At 31.7% G+C, this 17,210-nt stretch overlaps 1 annotated feature.

Annotated features, from left to right (window-relative positions):
- Positions 5,864 to 6,441: an enhancer, noted in NCBI's record as "VISTA enhancer hs947". NCBI's record gives its function as "enhancer in: forebrain[3/6]" and the evidence as "EXISTENCE:transgenic organism evidence [ECO:0001131][PMID:17130149]".

A 17,210-nucleotide genomic window follows, 5' to 3' on the forward strand; every position in this document is an offset into this window, starting at 1 on the left:
ACACTTGTACACTGTTGATAGGAATGTAAATTAGTTCAGCCTCTGCAGAAAGTAGTTTCGAGATTTCTCAAAGAACATGAAAAAGATCTACCATTTGACCCATTGATCCCATTGCTAGATATGTACCCAAAGGAAAATAGATCATTGTATCAAAAAGACACATGTCCTCACATGTTCACAGCCACAGTACTCACAATAGCAAAAGCATGGATTCAAGTAGGTGCCCATCAATGGTCAACTCGGTGAAGAAAATATGACACTTAAACACCATAGAATATTATGCAGTGATAAAAAAGACTGAAATTATGTTTTTGCAGCAACATTAATGCAGCTAGAAGCCATAATCCTAAGTAAACTAACTCAGGAAGAGAAAACCAAATGCCACATATTCTCACTTATAAGTGGAAGCTGAATATTGAGCACATATGGACATAAACATGGGAACAATGGGCACTGCAGACTACTAGAGGGGAGAAGGAGGTAGGAGGGTGTGATTTGACAGTTTTTCAACTATCTATTGTGCAATATACTCATGTCATAAACCTACACATGTATCCTGTATATCTAAATTAAAGTTGAAATTTTAAAAAATTACTCTAATAAAAACAACACTTATTTTTAGTGTTTAAATATTATATTTTTGTAGGCCTAGAACTTGACTTGATAATTCATTTGGGATATTAAATTTTGTGATTTTATATTCCTATTTATTATTTCAGAAAATGAATTAAAGCTATTTTAGCATCACATTACAGGAAAAGCTGAGAAAGTCATTAAGAGAAGTTTTTTAAAGGAGATTCTTGATTAATTAGTACTAGCAATACAAATAAACCAAACAATCATCAGAAAATGTTTACAAGTGCCTTTTTCAGACTGGTCAACGTGCTTCATCTTGTGATTAACAGAGAAATAAAGTACAAGTGTACCCCAGTCCTCAAGCTTTTAGCAATTTAGTAGATAAAATGGTGATAATGTTGATTTGAAAATTATTTAGCATTCAACTCAGTTTTTCTGACAACAGAACAAAAAATTGAAGAAAACAGTTGCTGAAGGAAACAAAAGATGTAGAAATGGGACTGAAAAAATTCCATTGGTCTAGGATTTGCAAGATGAATAGGATGTAAGTAATAAAACGCACAAAGTCAAGAGCAATTGACATGACAAGAACCCCTGAGACCATTCACTCTACCTGAGGTGGAGATTTATTTCGTATTTCACCTTTTTTCATCTTTTTCCATTACTGTACAATGCCTAGCTGTGTACAGAGACAGCACAAGTAAATGGAAAAACAGTCCATTTTCATGGAGTGTAAAAATTAGTATTAAAGTGGCCATACTGCTGAAATCAATTTACAGAATTGGAAGTCAGAATTTATCACAAAAAGATGATTTTGTCAATTGGAACTGTTATTTGAACTGTAAATATAAGACCGTACTACCCTGTTGTAGCAATGCAGTTGGAATATGCAGAGAGAAACCTAGCAAGTTGTTCCTCTCCCCTCAAAAGAAACCCACAGAACGTTAGAACATTAAATATTTCATATCAATCCTTCAGTATCTGTCTGTGCTGATATTACTATATGAGAATATACATATATCAATATAAAAAGAAATTATTCACTTCTGTTTTTATATAAAAATAAAATTATATATATATATTACACAGTAATGATTTTTACTTAATATATAATGGGTAAAATTTCAGATTATATAAAAATATGGATTTTAAAAAAATATTTGCATGATGTACTTTTGAACATAAATTATGCAATTATTATCCTACTGGTGAACATCAATCTACTTCCAGTTTTCATCATTATACTGCAAATAAATATATATATGTGTATGTGTGGGTACACACACATATTTTTTTCCACTAACAATGGTACTGTGGAAGAAAGGTGTACTCTGTTTTCCTTTTCTTTATTAAATTATATGCCACTTCTGGGAAGTTGTCCACAATTCACATTCCAAATAGCACACTCTCCCACACTATTGCCTTCTTAAACATTATCAATAATAATTGATTTTTATTAATGTCAATAGGATGGTGAACAAGTCACATACTTCCTTCTGTTATTGAAGTCCAATAGTTGTTTGAACTTCATTGACCATTGAATTTCCTTTTTTAATGAACTGCTTATTCAGAATCTTTACTAATTTTCATTAATTTGACTTTTAATTATGACTTAACTATTTGTAAAAGCTAATAGCATATTAGCTTTTCACCATTTCACATTTATTTTTATGAGTCCTTTCTTATGTGTATTACACATGTGTGATTTTCTGTGATTCTGTTACCAAAACATCAGCGGTTCAGTCTAGGTCCTGCTGCTTGCCACAGAGAAAGCCAATCACTGAGATGATTATTGCCAAGGATGGAGGCTTTCACCAGGTGCTGCAGTCGAGGAGGTGGGAGATCTGCCTCAAACCCATTTATCTGACCACTAAAACTAGGGGTTTATATACCCAGGAAGAAATGTAGCAGTGTGTAAAAAAAACAGGAACTAGGGAGGAGCAAGGAAAGAATCATGATGAATGAGGGATCTGACATCTCATTGTCTAGATATGGTCATCTGGAGACTGTCAGTTCTTTGATTTTTTTTTTTTTTTTTTGAGAGGCCGAGAGGTCCTTTCCTGAGGAAGAAACCCAGATAAAACAAATGGAAGATTCAAGCTTTAAGATAAGAAAGGTCAATTTCTATGTTTATTAGAAAAAAAAAAACTGTCTATGGAACTATTGGGGTGATTTCAATTCTTCTATCAAAATAAAAAGTTATACAAACATTTGCCCATTTTTTTTACTTTCATGATTTAATGTTTACCCTGCTTTCTGTGACTTACATTTTCCCTTTTTTGCTAAAAAAGATGTTCCCAACCCAAGTATATATAAAAATCATATAAAGTTTATAGATAGATATTATATTAATAGGGCCAATTGGGGAGTATTAACTATATTGGTTTAAGTTTAAGAATATGCAACAATTATTCTAAGCACAAAGTAAATGTAAAATATATTATATCAATCAGCAGTTACTGTGGGCCTACCACAGGCTTTCAGTGGTGTACGATAAGCGGTTTATTTCTCATGAATCTTTGTGTCAGCTGGGGTGTCTCTGCTTTTGTAGCCTCCAGCTGGTTGGTTAGTTGTGGACTTGCCCACTGCATTCTACTAGGGGTCAGGTGAAGCTCTTCTCATGACAATGACCATGATGTAAGAGGACAACCAGGCTGCACAAGCACAGTTCAAATTCCTACTTGCATTAGGTTTCTTAACATCTCTTTGGCCCAAGCAAGTCAGTGGCTAATCCCCAAGTCAAGAGTTGAGGAAGAAAGTTTCACCTTTAGGCAAGAGATTTCATGGCACTGTGCCTGGATACAGGGTGAGAGGAAGAAATTGGCCTATAATTCATTCTAAATCATATGTATATACCTAACTAGATAAACATTCACTTATTTATAAGTATAACTGTATATGAATATAAACTATGGTGGAACTTTTTGAATGTCAAACGCTTAATCAAAATTTTTATTCTCCAAAAGGCAAACTCCTCTATAAAGACTGAAATTAGCACTTCTGCACGAAAAAGTGGAAATATCATATCTAATTTAAAGTAAGGCTATTTGGAAAAGCTTTGCAAGAGAATTAACCATGTCTGTGCAACTGAAATAACTTCTTTGCACCAACTGTTACTTTATTCCACTGAGATTTTCTTACAACGAAACTAATTTGATCTGTCTCTGTTAAATTAATTATGATAGATAGAAACCATGTATCAACCAGGAATCCATACTGTGGTTTTCTGTTTTGTTTTTTCCTACCTAAGTTTGGTAGTGTGATACTTCAACATTGTATTTGTTATTCAATATATATAATTTGACAAACTTTTTAAAGGTATATTTTATATCTCAGTTTAGAATAGTGTTTCATTGTGGTACATTTTTAGGGAACACTCTTCTACAATAATACAACCTTAAAGTGTTTTCTGTTTCAGACTATTAGTAAAGCTCTTAAGTATTTAGATTTATCTCTCTCTCCCTCCCTCCCTCCCTCTCTCTCCCTCCTTCTCTCTCTCTCTCTCTCTCTCATACACACTAATATACTGCATTTGACCCGATGAGAACCACATTGATTAAAAAGAAAAAAGAAGAATAAGCACTGCTTAAATGTTAGCTAAATAATCCATAGACCTTTTAAAATGTATTATCAAGTGATCAACATAGAGGTAACTAACTGGTGCCAAGAAAAATGCCTAACGAGCTTGCCAAGGAGCCAGATGCTCCTACTGCTAAATTATCTCTTGCAGATTGGCACCGGCATTCTACAACTGGCACACCCACAGGTATCACTCACACTGCACCACCTTATGGTTTGAGCTAATTATTTAAAAATAGTTTACTTCATATTCAAAAGTGGATGCTCTGTATAAATTAATTTTGCTCTCCTAGGGAATCAGTACTTTATAAAAAATAAGACATGAGAAAGAAAATAATGTGTGAAATAGACTCATTTAAACTAAACAGGTTATTAGCTTAAAATGCCAGCTTTTATATAACTGCTCATATTTTCCCTTTACTAAGTCCTTTTTTTGGAAAATTGGTTTACAGGATTCCAATAAGTCGGATAAAAATGAAAATTTAATTATTAGGTGATTAAAATATCAATATTGTTCAGTTAAGAAAACAAAACAAAACATGCCCTTTTTAATTTGAAGCGTAGAAGTATTTTATTACAGTATGGACATATCCTGAGACAAATTTAACTTGAAGAAGTGAGTAGTCAATTGATTGTGTGTAATTGAAGATGTCATGCTACATTTTAAACTTGTTCTAGCACTCTGCATTTCCCCAAGTAGCATTTTAAATTCTGATAAATGCATGAAAATACTTTCTATCAAAGCCATTGAATTTAAGAAAAATATTGTTCTCAGTGTATCAGGGCAAATTTAAACAATCACTTTCAACTCTCTATGATGACTATGCTATTATATTTCTAAATGTGTCAACAGTCTTTCAAAATATGGGCTTTTATATTTATCTAAAGATAGGAAAATTTTGTAATTCTTATTTTTATTTTAAGAAGATCTTATTTCCTCAGATATTGTGGAACACTGTGGCAAGTGAGAAAAAGGACTAGAAAGAACCAAAACATTATTTAAGGTTCATACAAAATAGAAGAGCTCAGATACTTTGTTATAATCATGCTTTAAATGTATTCAAAAATATTTTAGAATGTAGGTGGCACATTTATTTTAGAGAGAATTTTGAGTAACAAAAGAGTTTAATGACCACATAATAGCAGCTTGTGTTGATGACAATAATTGGGTTTTACATAGCTTAAAGAAATATGAAAGTTCATCAATTTAGTTTTTCCTCTAGGCTACTGAAAATTAAAGGCAGAGCTAATGCCAAATGCGCTCAAGAACATGCATATTAAAATAAAATGCAAAAGAAAATAAGCTGCATTATTTACATAGTGTTGTTACCATATTTGTATGATTATTTAGCAAGTATTTCTCATTAAGAGGATTTAAGATGAGTATTTAACCACACATATGTAAAAAGAATAATAGACTGCTATTTTCTTGTTTAGAGGTTGCAGTAATTTTTGAAATGTCAAAATAAACCCAAGAACATATATGCATCTACATGTGTGTGTGTATATATATATATATATATATATATATACACACATAATGTATCTACATAAAATCTGAATTTGCCCATATACTATATAATTTATTGTATTACCAATTGAAATTGATGGTTCTTATTCTATAAGGCTAATATACGAAATTACATGTATCTTCTGGAAATTTATGTTTTACATGTAATTTATATGTAATGTTTAACCAAAAATAAAACAGCATTATAACAAGGCATATTAAGGTAATGAATATATATATTCATATATATATAATATAGACTCCATAAAGAAACAGCTGCCATTGGAAAAACAAGTATATAATTTAAAAAATTATTATTACTTTAAAGTAATGATTATCAGATTTAAAGAGATTTCTAAAGTAAAGGACTATTTTCCTTAGCCAGACGGAAGACTTTCCCCCTGGGACCTTGTTTGCCAGGAAGAATACTGGGTGGGAAAATACCAGCAGCTGGCATGATAATGAGTCCACTTCACTGCAAATTAGTTCATTATTATTCCATTCCTGCAATCTTATGATTCACAGTTGCATGTCATTTTTACATAAATAAAAAATAGGTATTATATATAACTAAACTGTGGCAATCTACAAGAACAAAATTTACAAACATAAGGAAAAAACTAGCAAACATATAAAAATAAAGCCAGATCATAAAGAAAAATACATAATTTAAATTCAAAACAGCCTTTCATGTTTAAAAGAAAACAAAAAATAAAAAGTAAATACAAACCGAAAACAAACCTGTATGAATTTACACTTTCCACATTTTGGATTCAACTTTGTTTTAACATTAAATCAGCTACAGGTAAGAAAATAATATAGTTTTTTTTTTCAGTGCGAATTCTTGGCAATTATTATTAGTTTATGTGACAGAAAGACTTATATTAGCATAACATGAAAAGTAAGTCCGCTTATGCATAAACGGTAATGATTGAAACAGCAGTTTTCCATGTCTGAAGACTTCCTGACTTTAGCTTATCATGGACCAAAATTTGAAAATACAGAATGGAAAACAAAAATTTGAATTAGATGATACTGAACTTGGCAATGCAGAACACCTTTAGGGCAGGACAGTGAAAAATAAACATCAAAACACTCACTTCTAGGAGATTTGAAAATTCAAACTATATGAACAAAAGTTAAAACAGATTAAAAATGACTTGAATATGAGACCTAAAAATTAATATCCTAGATTATAGGTAGCATTTCAATTTTGTTCTGGATAACTTATAAAATATTTAAAACACTTGAAACAACGTAACATAGATCCATTTAAACTAAATCAGAATATGAGAAATATAATTTAAGACATCATACTCAACAAATGGTACAGTTTAAGTATTAATATCCTACTGAAAAATAGAGAAACAAGTTTAATTGAGAGGCTGTTGAGCAATCAAAAAAAAGTAAAAGTAAAATAAGTGAGCTTCTTAAATAATAAATTTATAAAATACACAAAATCACTTAGAAAATTTAGAAATTTTCAAAGTAGCATAATCTTTAACATTTTAAGGAAAATAATCATGAAATATGACACATTACTAAACTGGTGACCTGGAAAAAAGATATCTGAGTCCCTGTGAGGAAAATAAATGGCCTTCTGTAAGAATGATACAATGGACTTCGGGGACTTGGGTGGAAGTGGGGGGAGGGAGACAAGGAATAAAATACTACAAATTGGGTGCAGCGTATACTTCTCGGTTGATGGGTGCACCAAAATCTCACAAACCTCCACTAATGAGCTTATGTAACCAAATACCACCTGTACCCCAATAACCTGTGGGAAAATAAAAGTAATAAATAAAAGACAAAAAAGAAAATAAATGGCCTTCTTTGTAAACTATCTTTAAATAACATTTTTGAAAAGTTTGGTGAATTAAATTAGTATCTTATTAACATTTTAGTGAAATAAAAGTCTGTTGAAAAATGAACTGAAACTGGTAAAATTTATATATTGAGTCTATAGAAAATACAACTATAGTTAACCTAATTACAGAAAATTAGGAGATAGTATTAACAATATTGTTTAAAATCCAATTACCCTCATTATCTGGAAGTAAAATTATATTTGAAAATAATTGGTTCTGTTTCAATATTTTTTTTAAAAAGTCAAGTTTCATGAGCATATCACAAAGTAGGATATGGGAATGAAGGAAACTACTAAGAAATTATTCCCATGAGGATCAGGAACTGCAGTACCTGTTCAGGCAACACTCAAGGGATGCATTGGGAGAGTAAAAAAGCTCATAAGAAAAGCATAGAAAATGTGAGGAATTCAGAAAATATAACAGAAATAATAGTAAATGAAACAGATTTATGTACAAATACTGATGTAAACATGCTGAAAACAGTAAGCAAGGTTGAACAAGTAATTGTCAACAGTGTGTAAATAGTTAAAGAATAAAAGGAAGGAGGAAGAGTAATTACCTAGCATAAGATGGCTAAGAAAAGATAGTCAGGTTTTAGAACATGCCAATTTATTATATACATGCATGTATAAATAATGTATTCCAAATAATTGAGTTTGTCTTGTTTTACAATAGTATAAAATGATTTCCAAAAAATGAAATGTATTGTTTTATGATAATCTAAAATTATTACTCATGGAAAATGACTTTCTAAAGCATGAGGAAACAACATTGTCTTAAACTCACAAAGGAGCATGGAATAAGGGTAAAAGTATTCATTTTGAAGGTCTGCACTTATGAGATTTTCTTGCTCTTGTACCCAGAATCATGATTGCAATTGCCATTTGTATACTTTTGAGTCTCATCTCCACCTCCTGGTTCTGGTCCACGTATCTAGTTTAAAAGTATCCTGACATAATTTTTATCTAGACTGAAATACCAACAAAAGTATCAGCAGGAAATGACTAAAACCTCATCATGGAGCCTACCGAATAGTTTAAATACTCACACACATGCACTAATCTGTATGTATGCTTGAGATTTCACGGACCCCTTACTAAGGTCTGAAATAAGTTAAAGTCTTTGATCATTATCTTCTATCACTTCTCTGAATTGTTTTCTTTTTTTTATATCCTCTGCTTTGTAATAATAATTACAAATAATTTTATTTGCTTAGTAAGGCTAAGAAAGTCCTTTAAAGAGGGACTAAGCCGTACCTGCCTCATTCAATAAATTCTGCACACGATACGCCCAGTTACTTCCCAGACACACTGGCATATCTCTGTGTACCGCTACCACTTGTCACTATCTCTAGCTGGGTGCACTTTATTTTGCATTAGCGGGTCTTTGCCATGCTGTAGTGGCTCAGGAAATCCTGGTGCATAATAAAATTTTAGCATTTACCTGAACAAAAAAGTATTTTTTACTTTATTTTATTTTTTTTACAAAGAAGTAATGTTTAAGTGCATTCTGTGTAACACTGAATATTTTCCAACCTGGCCAGGCAGGCTGGTATTTTATGGTTGATTTGGTATCTACTATCTTGTAAGTTGCAATACATCTCTGAAATGAAAATCTCCCTCTAATTTATTTTGTAAGGCATATACTGTAAACTTTCAAAATATATCACATCTACTATGTGATAATTTATATGAAATAAATTTGAGTAAATTCTAGTATCATTCGAAATTTGGAAATACGAAGCTCTTTGCAAACATTTAGATTTGTTTTATATATCCAAGCACACCATATGTTATTCAAACACTTTGAATATCCCCATAGATTTTTTTGCTGCCATGAGTGCTTTTCATCCAAATAAAATTATTCTACTTAGAAAAACAAAAAGGAAGAAAAAATAAAATGAAAAGAAAAAACCTTAATAACTAGAAAGAACATAGAAGTCGCTTGTTACATCTGCCAGTCACTTCATCTGTCAACAAAAACATATTGAGCAAGTATGTGAGCAAGACTGGAATGAAATTCACAAGGGTGCAAAATTGTTTCCTCCAACTGTTCTTTGGACTCAAGAGAGTAAATAGTTAGCCAATTCCTTCCAAACTGCAGAGGGGTAGCTTTTGATTGATGCAATTGTTTCTCTTCAAAATAATTTAATACTCAGGAAAATGACATATAGCAGCTCTAAAAACTCTTTTTGTTGATTTTTGTTTTTGTCTTGTAAACTAGAGTTTTACAGTCCTTATCATTCTCTGGGTCTTTTTTGTTCTTACATGCTTATATTATAATTAATATTCAAATTCCATTTGGCCATTAGCTTTAAAATGCATATATCTTCAGGACTTCAGTCTTCCTCCATTGTAATTGTAAAATTTCACCTTCTAACTACAATCTCCCTACTCACAGATTCAATGACTTCCTGAGTTATTTTTAAATTACATAGAAATAGGCTTTCATGTACCCAGGAACAAGACAGTGCCCATAAATCAGCCCTAGCCTTTTCTTAGAAATCCATTAACAACAAACAGGCTTTGGAAGGAGTCACTGACCACTGTCATCTATGGACACTCAGCCTCTATGATGCTGCACCAGCCTATGTTGTTTGTGCTGGGACCAGTTCAGAAGTAAGGAATGCAGAACATGGTTCTCAGTGTGAGCTTGTACTTTTGTTTTCCAGGTTGGCCCTGAGGCATTATAGCTTAGGCTTAGAGTGTCACCAGCTTTATGTAAACATGATCCCTACCACATCACCTGCAGCTCTCTCTGCAGGAGTCATGGTCTCTGAAACAGTTGAGTCACAGCCTCCTTCCTATCATGCCATTCCCTGTCTCCACCGATTTCCCTAATGTGGCTGCAAACAATCATCTCAGAGCCTTCACTCCATCAAAGATACATGAATGCATAAACATCTACACTTAACAGTAAATGCAGTTAGGGGATAGGATATTGTTGCTGCTTCCAGTGTTCAGCACTGCTTGGACTATGTGGATCACACCACCACACAGAGTTTCATACACAAAATAAAAGAGAAGGATAGACATTATTGCTTCTGAATGATGTGCTTAAATACAGTGTGGAAGGTATTATACCTTATGGGTGCACTAAATCTTGGAAGAATTGATTCAAAACCCAGTTAGGATTTGCTGTCTTTGTACATGGGTATTTGGGAAGTTTGTTTCAAATAACGAGACCCAAAACTCAATTAAATTTTAAAATCACTGTTGGAGCATGGAATGATTAGCAGCACAGTTATCTGACATGACACTGGAGAAAGTTAGAGGACATTTGTCTCATATACAGCTGTAAATGAGATTGAGAGTTAACTCAAAAATAAACTCCTAATTAAAAATAATTATGTGCTAAAATAACAACAAATTTAATTTAAGGGATGCTAAAAATCATCTCAAAGAGCATGACTGCTTATGGAGTAAGAAAGATAAATATAGAATTTTAGTTGAAAGAAGTAAAAAAAGTCTATATTTTATACAATCAGTTGACATTAAAGTGCAGATTCATATAAATTATGAATGTACATTATGTCTATTGTTGCCTAGGGAGGGGCAGAAAAAAATGTTCTAAAACCTTTGAGCAGATTGAGTCCATTTACAAAATAATTTTTTATCAAAAAGAGAGAAATGTTTTAATAAAAAGCACAAAGGTTTCTCATAAAGTTATTAATATGATTTTTGTATGAATAAAATGTATTATATTTTTGTTTATAATTTGTCGGTGTATTTTAATAACAAGCCCAATTGTAGAACTATAGCAAACTGAATAAATCATAGAAAAATTGCCATGATAGCATGAATTTTCTGATGAATAGGTAGCCATCCTGAAGTAATATTCATATACAGTAATAGGAATTAAGCTAAGTTATGAAAGTGACTTATTCATATATACAAAAGCTAGAAAATAATAAGGATAATGTTTTAAATCTAACAGTGAGTTTGAATCTAACATCAAAAACCAATAACCAAATGTAAAGTATTAACTGGCACTTTCTATACAAAAACACTGGAATAATTGACAAGAAAATGAAGACCTTGAATCTATCAATAAGGACAACAATAATAATAGAATGCTTAGGAATAAACTCAAACAAAGATGTGGAAGACCTGGACACTGAAAATTATAAAACTTTGAAGAAGATAATTAAAGAAAACAGTTAAATGAAATGACTTCCCATCTTCACAGATTGGAAAAATTAGTATTGTTAAATGTTTATGTTATCCAAAGTGATATACAGAGTCAGTTCAGTGTAATTTCTAAAAATCTCAATGGCATTTTTTACAACAATAGAAAAAGAATCCTAAAATTGATATGGACTCATGGATACTCAATATAGCCAAAACAATCTTCGGAAAAAAATAACAAAGAGCTGGATGCATCACATTTCTTTACTTCAAAATATTTTACAAAGCTACAATAATCAAAACAGTATGGTACTGACATAGAAACAGATATATAAACCATGTAGCATTGATTTACATCAGTTGAGGGCTCCTACCTTGACCCTCAGTACCATCATTGACGATTTTATACTATTTGTACTCAAAATTTTCTATATGATCATATATTTTTTGTTTCTCTCTCTCCTATACTGTCTTTTTCTGCACTAAATGGATATTTTCTAGTGTAAGATTTGTTCTTTAATATTCTCCCATGTGTTTTTTAAATTGCTTTCTTAGTAGTTAATACCAGATTTACCATATATATCTTATTGTTATCTATTTGATTTATACTACCTTATATCTAGTGAGATACAGCTTCTATATAGCCATATCTTTCTTCCCTTTTTATATGCTATTATTTTTATTCATATATCTATTTAGTTATAAATATAATAGTTTTAGTTATAAAGTCATAATATAAGTTATGGCTTTATATAATTCATGCTTACTAATGAAACTGAGAAAAGAAAGTATGTATTTATACAGTTTTTTATTTTAACCTCTTATCATTTCTGGTTCTCTTCATTTGTCCCTGTAGATTTAAATGATCATGATTACCATTTGATTTCACATCTTCATTTCCATATGGCTTTGCTCCCACACACCTCCTTTGTACTCCTTTGTACTGTACATAAATGTATAACACTTTATATGTTATAGACCCCAAAACAATACTATATATACATTATTTCATATTATTGCTTTTAAATCAGCCAATAGAAGAAAGTTATCCCTCATAAACTAGCTGACCTAGTGTTTAGCTTGTTGCATTTTTTCTAGCTTTATTGAGAATATTGACAAGTAAAAATTGTATATACTCATGGTATACAATGTGTTGCTTTGATATATGTATCCATAGTGAAATGGTTACCATAATCAAAGAAATTAATATATCCATCACTTCACATAGTTATTCTGTGTGTGAGTGTGTGTGTTCAGTGAGAACATTTAAGATTTACTCTCAGCAATTTCAGGTATACATTATATAATTTTTAACTATAGTGACCATGTTATACAATAAATTTCTAGATTTTATTTATCCTAACTGAAATTTTATACCTTTTGGGCAACATTTTTGCATTACTTCCCCTCTCCCACCACAACAGACACTGGGAACCACCATTCAACTGCCTGCTTCCATGAGTTTGACATTGTTAGATTCCATATATAAGTGAGATCATGCATTATTTCTTTTTTTATATCTGGCTTATATTATTTAGCATAATGTCTTCCAGGTTCATCAATGTTGTGACAAATGTAAGAAATTATTTCTTCTTAAAGGATAAATAATATTTATTTCCATATACAGACATACATTTTCTTCATTCACTCATTCCTTGGTTTTTTTCCATATCATGGCTATTTTGAATAATGCTGCAATAAACATGGCAGTGTCTTAATCTCTTTAACATACTGATTTCATTACCTTTGAATATATTCCCAGAAATGGGATTGCTGAATAATAATGAAAGCTCTATTTTTAATTTTTGAGGAAACTTTCTACTATCTCCATAAGGCTGTACCAATTTACATTCCCATTACCAGTGTACAAGGGTTCCCTTGCCAACTCTTGTTACCTTTTGTCTTTCTGACAATAGCTATTCTAACATGTGTGAGATGTGTGAGGTGATATCTCATTACTGCTTTGATTTGCATTTCTTGGATGTTTACTGATGTTGACCACCTTTTCATGTTTCTGTTAGTGATTTGTATGTCTTTTTTTGGAACTGTTTTTTTTATATCCTTTTACCTTTTTAAAAAATCTTGTTATTTGCTTTCTTTTTATTGAGCAGTTGGGTTCTTTATACATATCAGATATTAACCACTTATCAGATGTATTACTTGTAAACATTTTCTCTAATTCTGCAAGTTGTCTCTTAATTCTCTTGATTGTTTTAGAAGCTTTTTAACTTTATGCAATTCCATTTTCCTATTTTGGCTTTTGTTATGTGTGTTTTGGGGTCATATTCACAAAGCAATTTTCCAGCCCAATGTTGAGAAGGTTTTTCCTTATGTTTTCTTCCAGGTGTTCTACAGTTTCAGGTCTTATGTTTAAGTATTTAATCTATTTTTAATTTTTTTTTACATATAATATGACATAAGGGTTCAATTTCACTCTTCTGCATGTGGATATCCAGGTTTTCAAGCATCATTTAATGATAAGACAGTTCTTTCCTTATGGGAGTCCTTGGTTATTTGTTTTAAGGTCAGTTTACTGCAAATGTGAGATTTCTTTTTTTAATTTTTTATTTTATTTTATTATTAATATACTTTAAGTTTTAGGGTACATGTGCACAATGTGCAGGTAAGTTACATAGGTATACATGTGCCATGTTGCTGTGCTGCACCAATTAACTCGTCATTTAACATTAGGTATATCTCCTAATGCTATCCCTCCCCCCTCCTCCCACCCCACAACAGTCCCCAGAGTGTGATGTTCCCCTTCCTGTGTCCATGTGTTCTCATTGTTCAATTCCCACCTATGAGTGAGAACATGTGGTGTTTGGTTTTTTGTCCTTACGATAGTTTACTGAGAATGATGATTTCCAATTTCATCCCTGTCCCTACAAAGGACATGAACTCATCATTTTTTATGGCTGCATAGTATTCCATGGTATATAAGTGCCACATTTTCTTAATCCAGTCTATCACTGTTGGACATTTGGGTTAGTTCCAAGTCTTTGCTATTGTGAACAGACACTTCTCAAAAGAAGACATTTATGCAGCCAAAAAACACATGAAAAAATGCTCACCATCACTGGCCATCAGAGAAATGCAAATCAAAACCACAATGAGATACCATCTCACACCAGTTAGAATGGCAATCATTAAAAAGTCAGGAAACAACAGGTGCTGGAGAGGATGTGGAAAAATAGGAACACTTTTACACTGTTGGTGGGACTGTAAACTAGTTCGACCATTGTGGAAGTCAGTGTGGCGATTCCTCAGGGATCTAGAACTAGAAATACCATTTGACCCAGCCATCCCATTACTGGGTATATACCCAAAGGACTATAAATCATGCGGCTATAAAGACACATGCACACGTATGTTTATTGCGGCAAATGTGAGATTTCTAGGCATCCTATTCTATTACATTGGCCTATGTGTCTTTTTTTAAATGACAGTACCACGTTGTTGTGATTACTATAGCTTTGCAGTATAATTTGGAATGAGAGATTGTAATAACTTCTGCATTGTTCTTTTTTCTCCATTTTTTCACTATTAGTGTTTTTTTGTGGTTCCATATGAATTTTAGTTTTTTTTTCTATTTTCATGAAAAATGCCATTAAATTTTTATAGGGAATGCAATGAATCAATATAAAGCTTTGAATAGTTTTCATGTATTTGTATCTTCTTCAATTTGTTTCATTTTTTTATAATTTTCAATGTGCAAAACTTTCACTTCTTTGGTTAAATTTATTTGTATTGTTCTTTTTGATACTATTGTAAATGAGATTCTTGAGGGATTTTAGGAACACTCTCAAGCAAGTTAATATATGCATGATGATTGTCCCACAGGGAGCAGAGAAATTTAAAGGGGCAGAAAGTTTATTTAAATAAATAATAGAAATTTACTTATTCAGGTACCCTCTTCAGGTGTCCTGAAGAGGGAAATAAAGAGAAAAGCAACTCATTACGTATAAGGGAATATGCAGAAGCTATCACATATTTCTCAGCAGAAACCTTACAAGCCAGCAGAGAATGGGATAATGTACTCAAACTCTTAAAAAAAAAAAGAAAAAAAAAGAAAAGAAAAACGCTGCAATCACCAACACTATACCCAGCAAAACTGTCCTTTAGAAATGAAAGACAAATAGACTTTGCTAAAGAAACAGCTGTGAGAGTTCATCAGCACTAGACCTGCCTTGCAAGAAATGCTAGAGGAAGTTCTTCAAGTGAAAATGAAAAGACACTAAACATAAACATGAATACACATGAGAGTAGAAAATTCATCATAAATGTAAGAAAGTAATTAAGAGTAATCTAACACTATAATGGTGTTGCATAACTACTTTTAATTGTAGTGCAAAAGTTAAAAGACAAAGTGTTAAAATAACTATAGCAACAGTAATTTGTTAATGGATATGCAATATATAAATGATATAAATTGTGATTTCACTAACGTAAGATGTGGGGAAAGGAGAAGTTAAAGTGCAAATTTTTTGTATTGGTCAAAATTAAGTCGTTATCTTGAAATAGATTGTTATAACTATAATATATTTTATATAAGCCTTACGATAGCCAAGAAAGACAATAGATACATTAAAGATAAAGAAGAAGAAATCAAAAGATAACAATACAAAACATCATCTAATCACAAAGGAAGACAGCAAGAGATTAAACAAAGGAACTACAAAAGAGTCAGAAAATAACAAATGGCATAAATAAGTCCTTACCTATTAATATAAATGGATATAATTATGCAATCAGAAGACATAGACTGGCTGAATGGATTAAAAAAAACAAAGAGCCTACTATATGCTACCTAGAAGAGATTCACTTCAACTTTAAAGACACACGTAGGCTAAAAAAACGAAGGGGTGGAAAAAGACATGCAAATGGTAAACAAAAGTGAGCGGGTGTGGCTATTCTTGCCTCACACAAAATAGACTTTAAGTGAAAAACTATAAAAATAAACAAAGTAGGTCATAACATAATGAAAAAGTATTGAATTCAAGGAGATAATATAGCAATTGTAAGGTTATATACATGCAACGTCAGAGCACCTACGTCTATAACGCAAATATTAACAGAACTAAAAGGAGAGATGGGCAAAAATATGATCTAGTAGGGGCATCAATTCCTCCCCCCCTCCCACCATTCCACAATGGATAGGTGATCCAGACAGAAAAATCATTAAGGAAACATCAATCTTTAACAGTGCTATAGGTCAAATGGACCTCACAGACATATACAGTACATCCTACCCAACAGGAGAATGCACATTTTTTTTCAAGCACACAGGATATTCTTTAGGATAGATCATATGTTAGGCCACAAAACAAGTTTTATCAAATTAAAAAAAAATGAAACCACTTTAAGTAACTTTTCTGATCACAGTAATATGAATCTAAATATCAATAACAGGAGAAAAATTGGAAAATTAAAAAATATTTGAAAATTACATAACACACTGCTGAATAACCAATTGGTCAATGAAGAAATCGAAAGGGAAATAAAAATATGTTGAGAAAAATGAAATTAGAACCTCAATATATCAAACACATT

The sequence above is a fragment of the Homo sapiens genome, chromosome 18 (assembly GCF_000001405.40).
Source record: "Homo sapiens chromosome 18, GRCh38.p14 Primary Assembly".
NCBI classification, from domain to species: Eukaryota; Metazoa; Chordata; class Mammalia; order Primates; family Hominidae; genus Homo; species Homo sapiens.